Consider the following 21709-nt stretch of genomic DNA (forward strand, 5'->3'; position numbering starts at 1 on the left):
AATAGTGTTATATGGTGATTGATAGCATAAGTTATACAGCCAAGTCCAGCTGGCTTGAATTCTAGTTCTACTTACTACCTGTGTATTTGAGTTACTGTGTGTAACTCAAAGCCTCAGTTTTGTCGTCTGTGAAACAGGAATAAGAATGTTACCCACGTCATGTGATTTTCAATATCATGCAACAATCATGCACATAAAACATACACTGCCTGGCCCTGGCCAAGTGCTCACTAGATGTTGGTTATTACTATGAGTTCAGCAAAGGATGCAAAACTATAAATGATTACATATACAGAACTCCCGAGAAAGTCATGTTCATTTCCTTGGTTTGAAAGGTCATAGATGGCTACCCATATCTTGTAGGTGTTTATAAATGTGACTCTCTTCATATATATTTTTGTTTAAGGGCATTTGTTAATTCCAGGAAGAAATTTGAGGGGTGTGTAGCATAACTACATGTGATTTATTATAGGGCGGTGGTCACGAGACTCAGGATTGGGAGATGTTGTTCTTTTCTCCAGGTGGGTTAGACTTTTGATCTCTCAATAGTTGCTTGCTTCAAAGCTCTTGTTGCACAAGTTTGTCTATTCTTGGAGATCAGAGAGGTCTCAGTTTTCAGAGGCCACTGGAGTGTGGGTCCAAGATACTTGGCAGAGAGAAATAGGTATTAGGGAGTCCTAAATTATGGTTGTGGACTGTGGAGTTCCCTGCAGAGAGCACTCAGCCTTCTCTCTCTGCATTTGTTTTATAAATGGTTTATGAGATCTCTCATAGTTTGACTTAGTCTTCACGTCTGCATCATCCCTGTGAGTATAAATACAAATGAAAAGTAAGATGTGAATCAGACGTATCCATAAACAAGAGTCGTCTCTGGATTCTAGCAATAAATAAACCATAATGTCCAGCAAAATTAACCTATGGCTATTTCCTGAGCTAATTATCTTCCCACAGATAGAAACACTACTGATTCCAGGTCCACTGGTTTTTCAATTTATCTTCTTTACTTTATTTTGGTGAAATTCAGGAAATTTTCAAATTAGATCATTTCTGAAGTTGTGCATTACCAAATATCAGAGTAAAACCATCCAAACACCTTCTTTTTCCATGTGTAGGTCCAATTTCCTGAAGCTAATTTCTTCCTTCTAATTACAAGCACTCCAAGAACTAGGTTTTGCTACTCAGCATGAAAACAAGTAACTCTTATTTCTTCAGTCTGAGTTTGAATGCAGGAGGCTTCCTGAATCTGCCAGAATACAGGTGCTTAAGGTATAAGATCAATGTAAATGTTCCCTGTTCTGTTATGAAAATTAAATTTTTAGTGCTAAGTTTCACTAGGGAAAATGTGGATCTCCCAATGATCAGAATTTCTTGCTTAATATTTCTGAAGAAATCTTGCCCTGGTGACAGGTAACATGAGACATTGACTTCTTTTCTTTTTTTCTCCTCCCTAAAGGAGAGTTAAATTTAAGGAGTTAAAACGTGAAAGTTCTGTGTGTCAAATGTTATTTTTAAATTACTAGGTTGATTTAGATATTTTCGTCAAATCTAAGTGTATTCTTTGGTATCTCACTGTTTACTCATGACAAAATAAAAACATTCATGTTCATTTGGGAGGATTCTGCTTTACCATAAATAAGTGGCTAGAATGTCTTTCTGGACCAAGCTTTCTTGTTATTTTTGTCATTCACTCTAATAACTAGGACATACCATCTTAGGCAGAGCTAGAACATCTTATGTTGAGACTGGCATTCAGGATTATCCCTTGACTTACTTTCTAATTTCCGTGACAGTAGTGCATTGAGTCTACTGAATGATCATGTGAATGAATTTAGTGTTTGTCAGCAAAGGCTCAAATCATGCTATTTGTTTTAGAAGCAAAACATCCTGCTCCTGGATTCCACCAAACAGCCTGCCTCCCTTTCTTGAAAGTTTTTTGCTTTATCAGGTTCTATAATTGATTCCTAACAAGTGCTGTATCCTAAGAAAACAAGAATAATTCTGTTTTCATCGTTCTCATATTTTTAAAGTTTATGTAGTTGGGGTTTAATTTCCACAATTCAAGTTCTTTTGTTGATATAACTTTACCAAGTAGTCTAGATCCAGTCTTAACCCGCTCTGGAAACTTTAAAAAATGGCAGGACTCAGTCTCCTTTTATTTTTAATCTGAGACCATAACAGAAAAAGTGTCAGAACTCAATAGTACTTTTCTTTCCCCATTTCTTTCATACTGAAGCCACCAAATAAGAGCTGTGGATGCAAATTTTAGCAAAATGCTTTGCTATCTACCACTTCTTAATAGCTTCTTATGCACCAGGCACAAGGTTAAGTACTTGGCATTATTTTAACTGATTCAATCAGTACAACGACATAAAGCAGATACTAGCATCCATGTTCTAAGTAGGAATACTAAGACTTTGAGAGGTTAATTTCACATGGAAAATGAAGGAGCCAGAATCTGATCACTAGACCCCTTCTTACTAGAAGGCCGCCCTGACCACCCTAAAAAACATAGATGTGGTGAGTATGATTGGGAAAAAAATGTAGTATAAAGTGAAGAAACATACAGGCCCTATCATGAAAAATTAGGTACAATTAAGATACCAAGTTCTCCCTCTGCCTGAAAGACCTCAGTGTCCATACACCTACAAAAGAGAGTGCAGAAAGACTACCCCAAGCCCCATCACACCTCAAGGCAGGTAGTGAGTAATTTTCTCCTCTTCCCTAAATCTTCTCTCCCATCCTTTGCAAATATTGTTGCTGAAGTGAAGGTAGCTGGTGAGAAACAAATAAAATGGCTGCACATGCTGCATGAAAATTGTCATATTTCTTAGTTAAGTAAAAGATCAGCACAACTCAGAATTCAAGACTGAATGAAATAAGTATCCTGATTAGAATTGCATGCATGCGCTGAGTCAAATGGCTTCGAGTATATACATAGTCTATGAAAGGGAATAAAAGTCTGTTTGTATGTGCTTGGATTTGTTTCTGTGTGATTATGATTAGCATTGCAGTTCTCCAATGAAAGTATCTCCTGCTCAGTAGTCTCTTTTGTGTTCTTCAGTGCTAGTAGCCATAAGAACTAGGTGTCTAATAACACACTATAATAACTACCCATTGCAAATTAAGAATACTCTTACTGCTGTCTGTGCCTTGGAGCCCAGCTTTGGGTTCTGTACCATGTTCTCTTCCTTAAAAATGCTGAAAATTGGGATGCTGTTTCGTTGAGATTTTTCCATATCCCACATATATATGCATAGAAGGTTAAACATTGCTACGTTCTTCTGGTAAATTGCAGCTCACTTACCAAACTATTCAATGATTAAAGAAGAAACGTTTCAGAGGCCTTCTGTTTTGATTTTAGCTTATCGTAATCTGATGATGATGATCCAAGCTTTTATACAAAGGATGACAGCACCATAGTAGGCAACCATTTTGTTGAGGAAACCGGAAACGCTCACCCTTTTAAAAAACTAAGTTACCCTGACTACAGTCTTATTATTTCTTCAGTTTAAGGTTACATTTTCTGCCTCCCACAGACTAATGTCACTTCTCCATGTTGAGAACAAGAGCGGCATTTGGCATTTGGTTATCCCAAACCCAAATCTCTGACCCTTTGTTTTTAGTACTTTGCCATTTTGATTTTGCTTTTTTAATTTGCTTGTGACTCTCTGCTTCCCCCATCTTTTTTTTTTTTGGTACAATGATTCTTACCTTGTCTTTCCCCAGTCCGTTTCTGACCTGGAGAGACGTACAGCATGTTATTGTCAGGACTTCCCGTGCGGGACATTTGAACGCTAATGACTGGAAAACCAATGCTGCTGGTTTTAAGGGTGAGAACTTCTTTCATATTCTGTCACAGGCAAAATATTTTTATTTTTCCCCCATTTTAAATGGAGAGCAGGAAACAGAACCCCTCAAACGAAACTTTAAACTTTGTGCTGACAAACAAAGAGCTTGATCTTTTAGTAAATAAAAGGCAGGTTGATTTTTTTAAGTTAAAACTACACAGATAAGGGAGATTTCTTTGGCTTCCCACATCATAGGTCAATTTTTTTAAAAGATCGACCAACCCCCATGTATAGTCGGCCTATGGGACCCCTGATTAGTTTACTATTTGCTGTCACTGAATATCTAAGTAATATTTATAATAATGTATTTTAAAATTCCTCACCTTCTATAGGACTACTTCCACTTCAATAATAACTGATATATATTGTTCACTTTAGTGTAGCACTGTTAGTTGCTAAGGCCATGCATTCTACAAATTTTGTTTTTGTTTGTTATAAATCTTCCACAAAGAAAAGCAGGTAATAATTCTAAGAAATGTTACTTTATATAAACTAAAAATTTTAATGAAGCTTTATAATGTCCAGTCCTTATGCAATTGTGCACAATATGTAACAAGTACTGAATATTTTCCCATGGCTAATACAGATCATAGTTCCCAAAATAGCTATTCTATTTGTTGTCATAGGTAATATATGTTATAATAAAAATAAAATTAGCTATATAAAACATATATCCTAAAGTTTAGTATATCTACTCAAGTTGTAAGTGACCTAAGTTATAATAAGGTTTTAATTCATTAATCTAACTTGTAACAAACATTAATTTGTTTATATCTACAGACTTAAAACATATTCCCAAATAATCTTAGTATCATCATATATCTGTATGGATGAAATACAGTGTTCCATAGCACAGGGCACATCTCCTTAAAAATTGAGGTTCTGATGGTCAGACCGTTGGTAACATGGTCCTGGGCAAGTCATTTAATTTTTAAGGGCCCTAATAATTTAAGCATTTTGGATGCTAAGTAATATTATCTACGTATCATATCTTACATATGATCTTTATATATCCTTATATGAGCAATATATGCAAATATTTCTGCCAGAATGTATATTTTTAAAATTACTTGTAAATAATTTATTATAGACTCATGCTGAAACAAAACCTATAAATATCCTAGATAACCAGTGCCACATTAATAATTATTTGATTAATATCTTCACAGAAAGCTTCACTCTATTTTTAGGAAAAGAATATTTCTCTGCTTTGAAGTATTATCAAACACCTTTCCATGCATGTAAACTATATAATGCAGCAGTGTTCAATGAACTTTTAATCTAGAGTTGTAAATACCCGTTGGCATTGCATTCTCTGAAGCCCAAATCAGGAGATTTGATCCCAAAATTGTAATTGTATGGGAGACATCAAAATTATTTGAAATTTCGGTTGTTCCGGAAAATCCAGGATGTAATTTGCCATATGTATGTTTCATTTTGATTAGCTTCCACATGCTCCCAACTCGTACAATATAAATCCATGAGGCTGCAGGGGAGAGAAGGAGCTGACACATAACCTTAGCTAGTTGAAAGCTGGAATGAACTTCTTAGTAGAAGGATCACAGACTAAGGACATTAACCTCCATGAAGCTGAAGAAACTTTAACCCGAATAAATATCTTAGTTTTACTTATTCCTTTTTGGCAATTTAAAAAGAGCAAATGGTTCTAACAAAAATGCAGCTCTTCTGAAAACCTCTGTTGGTTTAGGAGAGGGGGAGACAGAGGGTTTAGACTAAGTCACCAGACCCAAACCTGAATCTAAAGGGGTTTGTGCACTGCTTTAAGGAGGAAACGGTATTTTACTATTGCACGTGGCAATATTTAGTATAATATTTCACTCTTCTCTTAGATGGCTGCCAAGAGTAACAATTAAAGTTTGCTTTTTCACAGATGAATTATTCTGAATGGGCTGGGCTCCCAGTGGGATTGTTTTGTAATTTTGTTGATGGCGAGTCCCGTATTTCATCTAAACAGGATCATAATAAGATGACTTAAGAAAAAAAAAAAGTTATTCTCTACTCTAAACGTTACCATCCCCTCCCTAGAGTCCCACAGATAAATGTGATTAAGGCAGAGGCTAGCAGGAGAAGCAACATGCTTTGGGGAAGTGGAGAATGCAGGGTACTAGGACTGCAGAAAGATGCTATGACTTTTTATGAAATAACATCTGAAAGAACAATAAAGAGCTAATGGTTAGAAAAGGTTCCTACAACAAGAGCTCAACAAGGGCTTGTATTTAAATGAGGTCAGCCGGCTTTTGCAGGTCTTGCTTAGCAGGAATCCATAGTCACGTATTTCTCCTTAGACTGGGAAAACGGAAGTTGCCTGCCTACAGAAGTGTGTGGTCCTGGGTGCCCTTCTTTGTCCCACCCAACTCAGCCCTAACACTGAGTAAAATATATGTATGAAATGAATCTGAAAACTCCTGTTCTTCCTTGGGCTTACTTTTGTTTTCCCAGTGTTGAGTAATTTATTAATAACTTGTTGGAAAAGTAGTTTAAAAAAAAATAGGAGAACAATTTCACAAATTGCTCAATAGGTACCTGCCAGTAATAGGGACATCAGCGTCACCCATCAGAATTTCTTTCTCATCACGTAAAGCAGAAGCCACTTAGAGTAGCAAACAACTCAGTTTTGGAGTTCAGACATCACTAGACTTGATAGTCTTTGTTATCACTGATAACTTCAGTAAAGCCAACACCCCAATGAATAGTCTCTACCAAAACCCTACCAAATCCATTTTATCCAACCTCCTTACATTTCTTCAGACATACCCCCATGTCCTACATCCTAGGCAGACAGCAGGGCTGGATGATGTGTGAGCTAGACTTGTGTGCAGCCCTCCTGAAGGCAGACTTGATCCATTCTTACCCACATGTGTTATGGACTGGAACAGGGAAGGGTTTCTCGTCCTGAAGCAGCTACTGGCTTGGACAGATTCTCATTCAGGCCAGGAAGTTGGCCTTGAACAACTAAAGAATGTGGCTTTCTGATGACTCATCTCTGTTTCTCTGAGAGTGGGGTTACCCTGGAGGTGCTCACTGATGAGCTAGGGACAGAGAACTTTCTTCTCCTTTTTCTGTGCCCTCCTTATAAAAGCACTCTGTAAATGACCCTGTAATGAGATGACCTCACAGAGAGGGAAGACACATGTAAACATTCTTATGTTAATGGCACCTTAATTTTCAACAATTTTAATCAAACTAAGATTATTCTATCCTGCTGTTTCTTAAATAATAATAACAATCTCATAGTATAATTAAAATATCTTTTCTGGTAGATTAGTTTTTCACAATAAACATAATCTGATGAATACATACCTATGGAAACTGACTAAACATTGTTTGGCCTTGTTCATCTTGTGAATAATCCTAGCTAAGTTTCAGACAACAGCTTTTGACTTTAAACCTCCTCCAGAGATAGTTTTTTTAATTAAATGGTATAAATATCATGTACCTATCAGAGAATCTACTTTAGATTGCCCATGAGAATAGGGAATTATTTGCCTTAGACCAGATGAACAGATGTGATATTCTGCTACCAGAGAACTGAAATCCAAATTCCAGTATTTTGCTTCTGACCAATATTTGCAATGCCAGAAGGTGACTTTGGCATTCAGCTGTTTGGGGTTTTGTTAGTATTATTTCTTTCCTCCCCTTGATCCCTTCCCTTTCTGCTTAGGAAAAGTCTTTTCTGTTTTGTTTTGTTTTCTATTCTTTTTAATTCTCCCTTGTGTTCCCTAAAGCATATGAATTAGCCATAAAAGTGAAGGCTTTTGCCATTCCAGCTGGTTTTCCTTCCTGGAATTTAATGGATGTTATCTCTTCATTTATTTATTTACCAATATTTCCTGAGCACTTTCAGCATGCCAACCCAACACATGTTGAAGTGAGCGCAGAAAGTGGGAGGGGAAGAAACGTCAGGGACACCATGGCGTTGACTAATCTGACCTGCCCTGGTGTAACTTACATACAGAAACAGAAATTTACACTCCATCTCTTTTTTTCTTTAGTCAAGCCCCGACAATCTGCCAGGTCATGTTAGATAAGTGTTGATGATCCTTCTCTCATCATCTAAAATTCAGGTTAATGTCGGCAGCAGAAGGCATCTGCTATAGAGAATATCTTCTGTGGTGTCTGATGTGTATTTTGACCAGCTCCATTTGGGCATATAGTACATGCAGATCCATAGAGCCATGCGGAAGACTTTTAATTCAGGCATTTTTCATAACCTACGGCTTGTATCATTTCAGGAAGAAGTTAGCTCTTTCTTGTGATCTCCTCCCTTTTAGTGCTATAATCTGAGGAAACTGTAAATCCACTGACCTCTCCCACCAGTGCCTGGGCTGTGCAGGCTGATTCTTGGCCCGAGTCCTTATCTTTGGTTTGGGTGTGAAGTTATAATTATAATTGAATGCATGCAACATCAGTGATCTAGTTTTCTTTTTTTCAAAGTGTTTATATTGGATTATATGACTGTATACAGTTAAACTCTCTTAAATCTAGGAACAGGAATAGACGTCAGATAATAAATTAGGACCTTCTGTCATCTTTACTAGGCGAAAGAATGAAAAAAATGTCATTGAAAATCAAAAAATGACAACTAAGTGAGAGAGGTTACCACGCCTTCCATTTCACTGCCCTCCCAGACTATGTAAGTCTCTTTTTTTCTACCAGCATGTTGCTGAAACCTCCCCCATCCCCACTGACTCTTTCTTTGACCACAACTAAACTACTAGATTTTTTTTTTTTAATTTCTAACTGATTACCAACCGTGGGGAAAACAATTGACAGTCTAACATGACTTCTTAGCCTCCGAGGCCTTAACTTTTAATAACCTGTATTACTTTTAATTGCCATCATTTTATTTCCACTGGTAGGGTTGATAATTTTAAGATGTCCAATATATTTTTAATACCTACCTGTCTTGCTTTCAGTTTGTAACACTTATTAAAAAGAATTCAAAGTGCTGAAACCATTAAGCATGCTGTGTGTTCAATCAAAATGAAAGGTTTTGAAATGTGCTTTTGAGTTGTGTTTTGAGTATAAAGTGATTTCTGATGTGTTACCATTTGAAAGGGTAAAGTTTCATTTTCCTTTATTATTTCACTGTACAAATAATATTCCATCTTCGCCACCTACTATGCTGATACACTGTTGGTAGCTATGATTAAAGCTACATAAGGCACTTTAATTGGTAATGTGTACATTGTGGTTTTAAAGAAAGGTTGAAGTGAAGTGGTACTCATCTGGTCAGTGTCTGAGGTGGTATTATCAGAAAAATTAGTCCCTTGACTCCAGTCTTGATCCCACTTGCAGAAATGAGGCCCTTCCTACTTGAAAAGACAGAGGGAAGTAAATACATTTGATTCCACCTAATAAAATGTGCCCCCTGGAAATGCCGCCTAACATATTTTTTTAAGATTCTATGTTTTCTACCATTGTGCTCTGCAAACTCATACCCATTTCATATTGACTGAAACCCTTTCATTTTTGTATTTATTGACCATTGTGTAGATGAGCTTATCTTCTAGCTCATTTACAAAAACAAAAAAACAAAAACTAAACAAACAAACAAAAAAACAATGTGAATCACACAGAATTCAGGAATTTTACCCTTATTGTTTTGCCTGGTAGATGATTTACCCAAACATCTCCATGGGAATATAGAAGCCCTGATAGCAAACTCTGCTTGGTCATGGCTTAATCCAGAGTCTTTCATCCAAAATGCCCACTTGTCTCATCAGAATGTTCAACTCATGCCTACCAAATATGTGACGCTCAAAAATATTTTCTACAAATGAAAAGTGGTGTTTTCTCTGTGCCTGTCCTTGACTGAATGGTGGTATTAGGTTTGTTAGGCTTTTGGGGGTTTCATTTTGTTTTGCCCTTTCATCCCTGTAAGTTTTAAATGCATGCGGTTTCACACTTAAAACCCATTCTCAAAATAGAATTAAAATGATGGTTGCACTATTTACCTGTTATCTCTATACAAGATGTAATTAGTTAATGAAGAGAACTATGTTTGGAGTGGTTTTGTGATTTTGCCAAAATCTTAAGAGCCTTTAAATTCTAGAAGAAAGTCTATTAATGATATTTTCTGTGGCCTTTGAGGAAGCCAATTAGAGTTTTTGTACCTTGGTTTTTGAGGAATGTGGATAGCTAATACTAAACATAATGAGAAGAATGAATTGAATGAAAAGTGCTTTGAAAATGGAAAATACCAAACAAAAAGAGTCTTAAAAGTATATCTTCATACATGAAGCTTTCTACTCCCTGAAATGAGAATAAAGATGCGGAACTGTGATGTGAATTAGAATTTTTTGGGGGTTGAAAATTAGTTCAGTTACCTGGAGTGGGCTAGAGAAAATATATCAAGGACTTTATAATAAAATTATTACTAATATGGCATCAAAGTTTTTAAATCATTAATCGTGTATCAATGATAATGCAACTATACTTAAATTCTGTTTTGCAAATTAATTTAAATGTTTAAATGTCACCTTAAGTCCAACCTACTAAATCTTTAAAGCTGTAATTAATTGCTTCAACTTAGGAACTAATGATAGAAATCTGAACTGATTGTAGCCTATCAACAGCCTATCAACTCTAGTAATTGATATACAGTGTAAATCTGTGAGTTTAAAATATGATTTTTAGCAATGTGTAAAAGCATCTACATTTAAGAGAAAATAGACGTCTCTTTTGTGTAATCACCTGAAGAAATTCAAATCTAATTCTAATGAGGCTGGACTTTACCTAGATATTTGTAAAACTCTTCTTTCAGCACATGACTTTGACTATTCTTAATAACAACAACTCTTAATATTTTGTGGTTATGGTTGATATTTTAGGCAAAGATATATGTCGTCAAGCTCTAAGCTTGTGATTATAGAGGATGTCAGTCCAAAAGTGTATTTTGACTATCAAGTAATGAAATTGAACCACTTATAACTGGATTCTGAATCCAGTTCCAAAATAAGATGCCCAAAAATGATTTAAGTCAAGAGAGTCTTAGCAAAGTACACACACACACACAACCCTCTACATTCTTTTTACAGCCTATTTTAAAATTCAACAATCATTTTCTTATTTGAGGTTTTGTATTTATTTAAAACAAAAAAATTCACTCAGCTCTGAACTCAGTGGTTCAGTGGTTGGGCTCCAGAGTCCAACAACCTGGAAGTGAATCCCAGCTTTATACAGTATCTCTGGTAATCTTCATACATTCTTAATCAGCTTTATTGAGGTAAATTTACATACAATAAAAAAGCACATTATTTTATGTGTACAGTTCAGTGAATTTTGACACAGGTATACATCCATGTGACCATCACCACAGTCGAGTTATAGAAACCTCTGTCACCCTAACGAGTTATTCTCTGCTCCTTTTTCATCCTCTAGCCTCCTCCTGCTGTGGCAACCACTGATCTACTTTCTGTCCCTATAGATGAGATTGTCTTTTGTAGGCTTTCGTATAAATTAAATTATTTGAAACTGGCTTCTTTCTAGCCATATAAGAGTTTTGAGGTTCATCTGTGTCATTAAGTAAGTCAGGCATTCCCACCATAAAACAGAATGAGATCATGTCTTTGAGGGAACGTGGATGGAGCTGGAGGCCATTATCCTTAGCAAACTAACTCAGGAACAGAAAACCAAATACTACATGTTCTCACTTGTAAGTGGGAGCTAAATGATGAGAACTCGTGAACACAAAGAAGGAACAACACACACTGGGGCCTACTTGAGCGGGGAGCGTGGGAGGAGAAAGAGGAGCAGGAAAAATAACTATTGGATACTGGGCTTAATACCTGGGGGATGAAATAATCTGTACAACACAGCCCCATGACATGAGTTTACCTATATAACAAACCTGCATATGTACTCCTAAACCTAAAATAAAAGTTAAAAAAAGTAATGTTTTAAATTTTTAAAAGTATATCAGGCATTCATTCTCTTTTATTGCTATCTAGTATTCCACTGTATGAATATACCACAATTTCCATACTCATTCACTTTTCCATGGAACATTTTATTGTTTCTGGTTCCGAGTTAGTATGAGTACAACTGCTCCAAATAGTTATGTAAAAATCTTTATGTGGACAAATTATAATTTTAAAATATTAGTCAGAAAAGTCCTCTTTAATTTGAACAGAAACCCTGAAGAATAAGGGAGCATTCTAAGTGGCTAACTAGGTATAGAGCATTTCAGGCAAGATGAATAGCATGTACAAAACCTGTTCAAAGAAAAGCAAGGAGGCCATCCTAGCTGGGGTGGAGCGAGCAAAGAAAAGAATGAGGAAAATTGTATCATATAAAGAATTTAATGCCCCTCTTCATTCATAGTATGTGCTTAAGTAAAATTATTTATGAGCTATATGTCATGCATTCTAATAAAACATATTCAGTTAATAATTCTGTTCAGAGTTTTGTAAGATAAGAATCCAGTATATTTTATATAGAGATACAGATGTAGATGTATATAGAGCTATATCCATTAACATGGAATTTGTATTTTAGAAATGAAATTTGGTCTCTAACACTTTCAAATATTAAACTCACTACATGATAGTCACATATCTCTTGTGACACTTCTTTTCTCTTCTTTGTAGTCTGTTTTCTCTAATTTGGGCTATTGTTTTCATTTCATATTGTCAGTGATTTTAGTTGATGGTTCTGGATAAATTATTAACCTCCTTATTTTCTCTTTTTCATAAGATTACTTGGATTTCAATAAACAATAAATGGCCTCAAAAGTGTTGGAAAAAGCATAATCTGCCAATGATTATGAATTATATTAATGTCATACACCTAACCTAAATAAAGCACAAATAAGTACAGTGAGAGGGTGAAAGATGTTTGAGAACTTGAGGGTTACCAAAAGTTGGGGAACCAAGCTTATCTGGAATACCGTAGTTTCTTTTAGTTTAAACAAATGCCTTCTTTTGTTTGTGTTTCTCGGGGACTGGAAATTATAACTGGAGGAGACAGCCATGGTGAAGGCAACAGGTCAGGGGAAGGGGCAAAAGAGAGGGCTCAGTGTACAAAAAGGACAGGTATGGTGTGATGAGGAAAGTAATCTAAAAGAAATCAAAAGCAAAGCTACTTGAATCCTGCAGTTAGGAGTTCTCATTTCATTTGAAAAACATTTTGGAGCCGCTGCGGTGATTGAGAAAGTGAGCTAGATGATAGTAATGACTTTCAAACAAGTTGATTCAAGTTGCTAGTCTGATGTCAAAAAGAATATTATTTCTTACACTGATGGTGCGAATCCATTGTTCCTATGATATGTCTTACAAAATGGCATGTGTGTAACAAACTGACTGGTTGAAATGAAATTGTCTTGCAGTGATCATTTTGTATTATCTTAGTATGCAATTATGTATTTGTGACCTTAAGACTGAGACATTCAGCGACATTTTTTATCATCTCTTGGCCTTCTTCTAAATGAGGAAAGTTGTAGATTTGGGATATATAATCATCTTTGCTACATCCCACTTTTTTTTTTTTTTTAAGAGAAAGAAGTGCTTTTTGAAATGACTCTTTAATAAACCCCGGGCAAAGGGTGTGGTGAGAAGATTGCTTCTTGAAAAATGTCAGGTCAGAAATTGTGCTTTGAGAAGCCTTCACATATTTCCTTTGTTTGACCAAAGTCTTTTCGTTGGTTGTTATTGCTCACCATGACTTCCGAAAAGCCATCTAACTTCCCATATTTGAATTTCTTTTTAGCATACAATTGCAGTCTTTGTATTTGCCATATAACTCCACAAACATTTAAAGAGAGCAAGTATACATAATTGTGGTTAGCATCTTGAGTTGCTGTACACCTATTATGCAAGCAGAATGACAGAAGCACTTAGGGTTTATAAATGACTTTTCCTCCTTCCGAAGTATTGTATTCATATTCTTTTTCTCGGCCCTGAAGCCAACTTAGAATTTTTAGTAGTCTTAAGAAGCTGTATTGTTTTTCTGAACCCACCGGAGGTTACAATGTATATGCTTTCTTAATATACTGTATGGGATGGTTTTGTCAGGAAATCATCCGCTTCTTTTCATGTTTTACCTTCAGAAGTATATTTACAGCCAAAGTAGAAGATATGTATCCAGCTTGGTTCCAAAGTGCAATTCTATGCATCTTAGAGGCCTAAAACTCCCACTGAATTGCAGTCACATATCATGAAAGAATCAGAGAAGATAGCTAAAAACATGAGAAATGTCTGATTGTTTGACAGAGCTGCCACACCTGGTTGCATAGGTTGTTAACTGCACAAGGGAGCCAAACTAAAGGGTTGAGTGGGTGGGGACAGAAATCTGGCCTTGGATCCAGTCACCAAGGAATGTGCCCTGCAGTGGGATGATGTCCACCTTAAGGAAAGAGGTACCTTTCTCTAATCGACAGAAGTCCCACATGGGCATCCCTGTTGCATGGAATTCTGTTGTGATTTCTTCCAGAGCTAACAAAGGCACAGGTATCTTTTAAGAAGTATGCATCCAGAGATGGTTCTGTTCATTTTAATCTGCAGCCATTGCTTCAGTCTTGATACCCACAGAACCTGTTTCTTCATTGGCAAAATAACTCAGTGTTACTAGAGTCAAATAAAATTTTGCAATAGCTGGCCAGGAGTGGTGGCTTATGCCTCTAATCCCAGCACTTTGGGAGGCCGAAGTGGGCGGATCACGAGGTCAGAAGTTCAAGACCAGCCTGGCCAACATGGTGAAACCCCATCTCTACTAAAAATAAAAAATTAGCTGGGTGTGGTGGTGGGTGCCTGTAATCCCAGCTACTCAGGAAGCTGAGGCAGGAGAATCGCTTGAACCTGGGAGGCAGAGGTTGCAGTGAGCCAAGATTGTGCCGCTGCACTCCAGTCTGAGCGACAGAGCAAGACTCCATCTTAAAAAAAATAAGATTGCAATATCTGTGGCTATTTCATCACTATCTTTATCACCAGCTCTCTAAACAAAGTTTGAAGTAAAATCTCAGACTCTTAAGTGATCATAAGTGCCAAGCACAAATCTATAATTCTTTTCAGGTACTTTTTTTTACATTCAACAAAAATGATGGAAGCTTCATGAATTCAAATGTATGATTCTTTCATTTGAGTTCCAGTAGAAGTTTCATATTTGGGGTGGAGTGCTTGTAAACATTGGCATATGTTGGATACGTGAGCCCAGAGCAGCGGTGAAAAGGCTTCATTTGAAGTCTTCCATGATTATCGTCAACCTGTCTTGTGAAAATACCACCTCCCCCCCAGCTCATTTTTTCTACCAAGGCATAGAGCTTTAAATGTGAAAGGAATAAACTGTGATTGAGGTAAACAGGAGAAACTCTCTTATTGAAATTAATACATGCATATCAGTTTGGATTCTGGCATCAGATATTCCTAGCACAGACTGCAGCACCAGTTTCATATCCCACATCAGGGACAGAGGGCTCTAACTTGCTGTGACCACACTGAGACCATGGTAAGTGGGCACTGTGGAAACTAGTTGAGGATCAATAAGAGGGCCCAAATAAACAAGATGAAAGGGGGCTTATGATTACATCTTTTCCAAATTTAATTTTACTAAAGATGGCTTAGCCTATCCTATTTTGTTATCTAGAGAGATCTTTGTATTGGTGCCAATGTCTGTAATATAAACCAAATCCAAAGGCTCAAAAAGAAATGCTGAAAATTAATCCTTCCCTGGTTCTATGCATGACTTCCAAGGCCAGTGCACCTAGCACTATAAAGTGAGACTCCAGGCAGTTGCTTTGCAGAATCCATCTGGATACATCTTCTGGGAAATAAATAGATCCAGACTCTTTTTTTTTTTCTTAGAATCTCAATTCAGTCTCTTTACACATGCTCACATCTTGCTAGCCTTTGGCATTTCAAAGCAATTAAACTTCTATCACATGTCCCAGTAATGGCTTCAACAGGCTTCATTTTATGGTATTATACCAGAAGACACAGTTCCCCCTGAAATTTCCAAAGTCATCCTTGAAAGAGCCAAAAAGAAAGCTATTGTGATCACTGCTGGATGTTAACAAATGGGAAGTTGCTCTTTGATACTCAATGTCATTCTTCCATCTATAAGTGCCTGGTTAGCTCTAATAAAAAAAAATAGCCAAAGCGTGAATATAAAATAAAGTATCTTTTCCATATTAATATCTTCACACTCACAGAAAATCCCTGATAGAAATGACTGAAGAAGGTCATTTCTCAGCAAGAATATGGGAAAGTGTTAGGGACCAGATGTTAAACTTTCCTTCCAAGTCCAACATATAAATAAATAAATATGTATATATACATGTATGTATATATATATATGTGTATATATATATTGCACATGATGTTTTAATGAGTTCTGAAGTTTTGAAGATGAGAGCAGTACTTTGTGTGGTTGACTTGGAAAAGATAAGTTATGTAGATGATTTCCTCATATGTTTTCCCCCTTTATTACCTTGCAGGATTATTCTGAGGATTATGATTGATTTGAGTACCTTAGTGGAAAGAAATACTGTATGTCTTGTAGACCACAGTAATCAATGGATAAATATATAGTAGAAAGAAATTCTGAAGACTTGAGCTTGAGTTTCTATGACTTTGCACAACTTCTTTTCATGTTCATGAGACCTAGTTTCTTCAGCTAGAAAATGTGAATAATACCATCTTGCTAATAAGATCATTGTGAAGATTTTATTAGCTACTGTGTAATAAAATACATATGTAAGATATGAATTTTGCCTCCCCTATAAAATTTCCCCTCAGCCTCTCATTTTGTGAAGCATGCTCAATGCATTAAATGTGCTTCAGTTGTAGGGGCAGTAGGATTCAGAAATAGACAAGTCAGTGCATTTTCTGTTTTCACCTTTGTACACTGAGCATGATTTTTCATCTCAACTCAGTCAAACCCTGATTCTTTCCTAACAATGCCATATGTACTTAACGCCTTAAGTAATGTGCATTCAAAGAAGGAAGTATCTAGACCAATCTGTCCCTGAAGTGTGAGTGATAATGCAAGTCTAGGTTAATTAAGGGAACTTTTATCTTCTCAAAATGTTTCTGTAAGAGAAGCAGAAATATTTGGGATAACCATATAAAAAGATACTGACATCATATACTGTGCAGTCAACTCTCATTTCTTTTGCTCCTGGCATGAGGGAAGGGGTATTTGAGAATCATGCCTATAGAGTCTCAGGACCTATGCTGGAGAGGTTAGCCTAATTAATCAGACTTTGCCAGGAGATGCCATCCCTAATAACCTAAGTGTTCTCAAAGTGTGGTCCCCGGACCAACAATATACCAGCATCACCTGAAAGCATGTTAGAAATTCACATTCTGGGCCTTACCTCAAAACTCCTGAATCACTGGGACTGAGAAATGTGTGCTTTAGCAAGTCCTGGGTGATTCCGATACACATGCAAGTTTGAGGACTACTGTCCCAAGTCGCCCCCCATATGTAATGAATTATCTTCTCTCCTGTGCATCTGGAAGTGCCATCCTTAGAAGAATAAAGTGCCATCCCTGGAAGAAACAAAAAAATAGTCTCTCAAATTGTGTTTTTCCTGCTGTTTCAATAAGGAAGTTGTGAAAGGTTTTCCCCAAACATCTCTTGTCAGTTGCTGAGCCATTTGCTCCCAGCCACATCTGTTCTTTTTTCTGTCAATTGGACCATGACCCTATGTTTTCAAACTTTGTATCACTCGTAAAGGGGGAGAAAAGAAAAAGAAAACCTTTTCCATTCTACTGCCTTTGTTCCCTCCCTCCTTTCACAGCTAAAAATTCCCTGCAAGTAGTCTGAATTAGCTGCGTCCATTTCCTTAGTTCATTCAGTCCTTCTGTAATTCTTTGCAATCTTGTTTCTACTTTTATTGTTTCTACTTCCACCTTTGAAGGGAAATTATTCTACAACTTTGACCCATCTCCTGCTTGCCAAATCGGAAGACCTATTGTCTTCCTCTAGGATTCATGCTCTAGATCAACCCGGTCTAGATCTCTCTTTGTTTTTAATGATGCAAAGATACAGCCCTGGTTCTTTGGCTCTTTACTTATTCTTTTCTCCCTTTCTTTAACCTTAGCCATTCCCTGAAGTCTGTTGCTTAGAGAGGGAGAGAGAGAGGGAGGGAGTTTCTCTCTCCCTCTCTCTCCCTCTCTCTCCCTCTCTCCTTTCCTCTCCCATCCTCTTAATGCCACTGCTTTTCTTTCACATATCTGCCTTCTTTTCAGTTACAAGGATCATGTCTTCACCAAAGATTTTCAATTCTACGTCTTCAACATTGACTTCATCCACTACCGATCTAGAATCTCTGCACAAGGCCCTCTCTATGTCATTTACAGCTAAGAACTTCTAAAACAGAAGCCATCAGTCATCTTTCACAAAACAACTTCTCCCCAAAGCTGGCCTCTGTTGACAGGGGATACCCTTCTGTCCATCACCCTGTTCCTGACTCCTTGGTCACCTCCAGTTTTAATTGCAAAACTCCATTGCTTCTTCCTTACCTGATCTCTCATTTCTTTCACCATTTCCATAACCTGGTTTATGATCTCACATGCCTGCACCATTGCAATAGGTTCCCTGCCTTAGTCCTTCTGCCTCTGATATCCCGTATAACAAATCCCAGATTAATCTTTCCAGAATATCAATTCAATTATGTCATTTCCTTGATCGTTGGCCCTCATTGCCTCCAGAGTAAATCCAGCCGTGCATTCCAGGACCACACAGCTTCCTTGAAAATGTCACCATTCCAAATATTCTGGTCTCATTACCTTCTCTCCATGAATCCAAATCTTACTGAAGGATTTAAGAGCCATCTCAAGTCTTATTTCTTCTAAAAGAACATCCAGTTCTCAGTAATGGCTTACTTTTCGTAAATTTTACAGAAATTTCCCTACTGACATCCATTAAGCTTAAAAATCATTTGAGTTTTATGAAAATAAAAGGGAATGCTCCTGAGAAGCCTACATAGTGGCAGAAACTGAGAAGGATATGTGGTAGCTTTCTTCCCAGTGAAATAGTGACATTCCCAGTGACAAGGAATAATTTTTCTTTGTTTGCCATCATCACCTCCAACAGTGGGTGAAGAAGGCTCCTTGTGAGGTCAGCTGATGGATGTGTAGCTGGATGAAATAACCAAATCTTTGTAATTACTATTAACCACTGAGTAAACAGGCACTCACTTGAAATAAATGTCAACTAAATTCTCTATTCCCTTATCTTAGGAGAACTTAAGGGAAAAGCAAAGCAAAACTAAAGGAAAATTAAATAAAGAATTATCTAAAAGTAATATGTAAATAATCCACAAATAGGAATTTTGGCTGCCGGCTAACCAAAATCCCATTTCATTCATTGTTTGCTCAAGTTTTACATCAAGAAGATCTAGGCTGGGGAACTGACATATGGTCAATCTAATCTTCAACTAGCCTTTACCCAAAGGCCCTTGTAGTACATTTTTTATCTTGTTCTCATCTTTGTCCAGACAGTCATTCCTAAAAACAAGCAAAAATGGGATCTGGATATGATGTGGGTTACATGGCTGGGTCTCCCCAAGCTGGTATAGTAGTTTTCCTACTCCTGTTCAGGAAATACCCATCAATTATCTTAAGCAAATTACTTGCCTATTGTAACCATGCTGGGAGCAAATAAATGAAGACTGGTCAGAAGAAAATAAGAAAATAATCTGACACTTTTTTCTTTTCTTAAAATGGATAGAGGCCCTTGACAGAAAGCAGACATATCTCCTTCTTGTTTTAACTCTGCAAATGAAACAAATAGTAATAAATATGTTTCTGTATGTTCATACAGAATATAATAAATTGTGTGTGTATATATAAACATTATATTCCTATATGTGTATAATGAAGTACATAGTGCGTGGAGAAGAGGAGCTCAGCAGTATTTTCCTGAACTCCATTTCCTTAGTCTGTACTAAAGAGCCTGTCTGACTATGTACAGCTGCTGACCAAACCCATCCCCAAGAGTAGCTTTGAAGTGCAGGCCCAGGAGACAGTATCTGGAAACTTTCCATGTGCAAGTTCTCAGTAGCACTGGTGACGGCTGGCATGTTTGGATCTGGCTGGAGTTGTTATGAGAGCCTGAGATTTTAGGAAGAGCAAAGGAAAAATAAAAACAAACCAGGCAGCCGGGCGCAGTGGCTCACACCTGTAATCCCAAAAGTTTGGGAGGCTGACACGGGCGGATCACCTGAGGTCAGGAGTTCGAGACCAGCCTGGCCAACATGGTGAAACCCCATCTCTACTAAAAATACAAAATTAGCCAGGCGTGGTGGCACATGCTTGTAATCCCAGCTACTGGGGAGGCTGAGGCAAGAGAATTGCTTGAACCTGGGAGGCAGAGGTTGCAGTGAGCCGAGATCACACCATTGCACTCCAGCCTGGGCAACAAGAGTGAAACTCCATCTCTAAATAAATAAATAATAAATAAATACCAGGCAGCAGAACACAGGTGCCAGCTGCTACGTTTTACTACCCCAAGGGAGTCTGCATTTTTGCACTGAGCAGCAGAAGAAAACATTGCAACTATAGTTCTGAATCTCTCTCTAAGAAGCTCATGCTCCTTTCGCACTGAAATATAAGAGTACGCGAAGAAGAGGTAGCGGAGGAAGGGAATAAGACAGAGGAAGAAGTAAGTGTTTCTGGGAGCGTTCTGGCTTTCCACTATCAGATATTTAGGTGTGAAACTGCCGACATGAGACTGAAAAGTATCACTTCCCACTTTTTCTTTCTTCCGTAGGAAGTTTCATTTTGTTTTCATATTTAGCTGTTTCTTTTTACATTAAAAAAAAAAAAAAACTATACTTAGGTGTTTACATTATGCGTGTGGGACGTGGCAACTTGGGAAAGCGTCCCAGGTCCTCTCAGTTTCATGCTCTCCTCCTGTCCTGCACATTTGGCCTGGTTTGATTAGTAGGTGAGGGAGGCACAGGGTCCCTGGTGGGAGCAGTTATTTCAGAGCAGGTGGTTCAGCACATTGAGGATCAAAGAATCCAAAGGTGCTAGGACTGCAACAGCTGCAGGCAGCTCTTTGATCTCTGGTTCGGAATTTCTACCCAGCCCACAGATCAAGCAGCCCTCCTCAAGAAGGGAATTTGGGTAACTACCTTTTATTCTGGTGGTTTACTTATAGGTAGATGAGAATAGCAACAACTTGATTGATGGCAGCTGACACCCAGCAATCATGGTTGTCTTTGAGTTCTCCTGCAGTCTGGTCTCACCCTCTATTCCCTGCACACTTACCACTCTCCCCTTCCCCTGCTGACCATTCACCCGACTGCAGGAATGCTGGTTTCCTCTGTGCCTCAACGAACCACAGAAAGACTTAATTATCTAACCAGGATGCTCAGTCCTGGCCCCTGCGATGTGCTACCTTCGTCCTCCACCTAACTAAATCCTACACATGCATGAAAGCACAATCCAAATATGGATCACTTTCCCCTCAGGTTACCTTAACTGCAGATCTTGGCTCACATGGATTGAGTACTTACTATACACCTGGTTGCTTGATAGCCCTTGTATTTGACTGATTTCTTACTCTTTGGATGTCCTTTTATACTTACAGTAATTATGCAGTTTGGTGCTTTTAATTGTTTCTCAAATTATAAAGTTATTCTTGTCTCACCTTCTACTTGAGTGAGAACACAAATTATTTTCTGTTGCATTTGGATCTCACTGTTGAGTATGGTGTTGAATACAGAGTAGGTGCTTTACAACCTGAGTGATATAATAATTAATTGGATCAATTATTAGCTTATATTGGTGAAGTATATTGAAACTGATGCTTTCGAATAATCAAATAATTGAATCTAATTTATCGGCCACGTTTCATATTTTGATGGTTATGTGCATCCGAACAAATAGAAA

At 37.5% G+C, this 21709-nt stretch overlaps 1 protein-coding gene across 9 annotated transcripts in view; it reads left to right on the top strand.

Moving 5' to 3' along the window:
- The window catches only part of PCSK5 (proprotein convertase subtilisin/kexin type 5), a 473167-nt gene that overhangs the window by 240574 nt on the left and 210884 nt on the right, over positions 1–21709 (top strand). For 7 of the 9 annotated variants that reach the window (XM_047423454.1, NM_001372043.1, XM_011518769.4 and 4 more), the window contains exon 10: positions 3727–3830. The exons of 1 other annotated variant lie outside the window; for it this stretch is intronic. In XM_047423454.1, coding sequence (XP_047279410.1) covers positions 3727–3830 — 104 coding nt within the window. One more of the 9 variants, XM_011518770.3, reaches the window with a different exon arrangement.

Source organism: Homo sapiens, chromosome 9 (assembly GCF_000001405.40).
Source record: "Homo sapiens chromosome 9, GRCh38.p14 Primary Assembly".
Classification (NCBI taxonomy): Eukaryota; Metazoa; Chordata; class Mammalia; order Primates; family Hominidae; genus Homo; species Homo sapiens.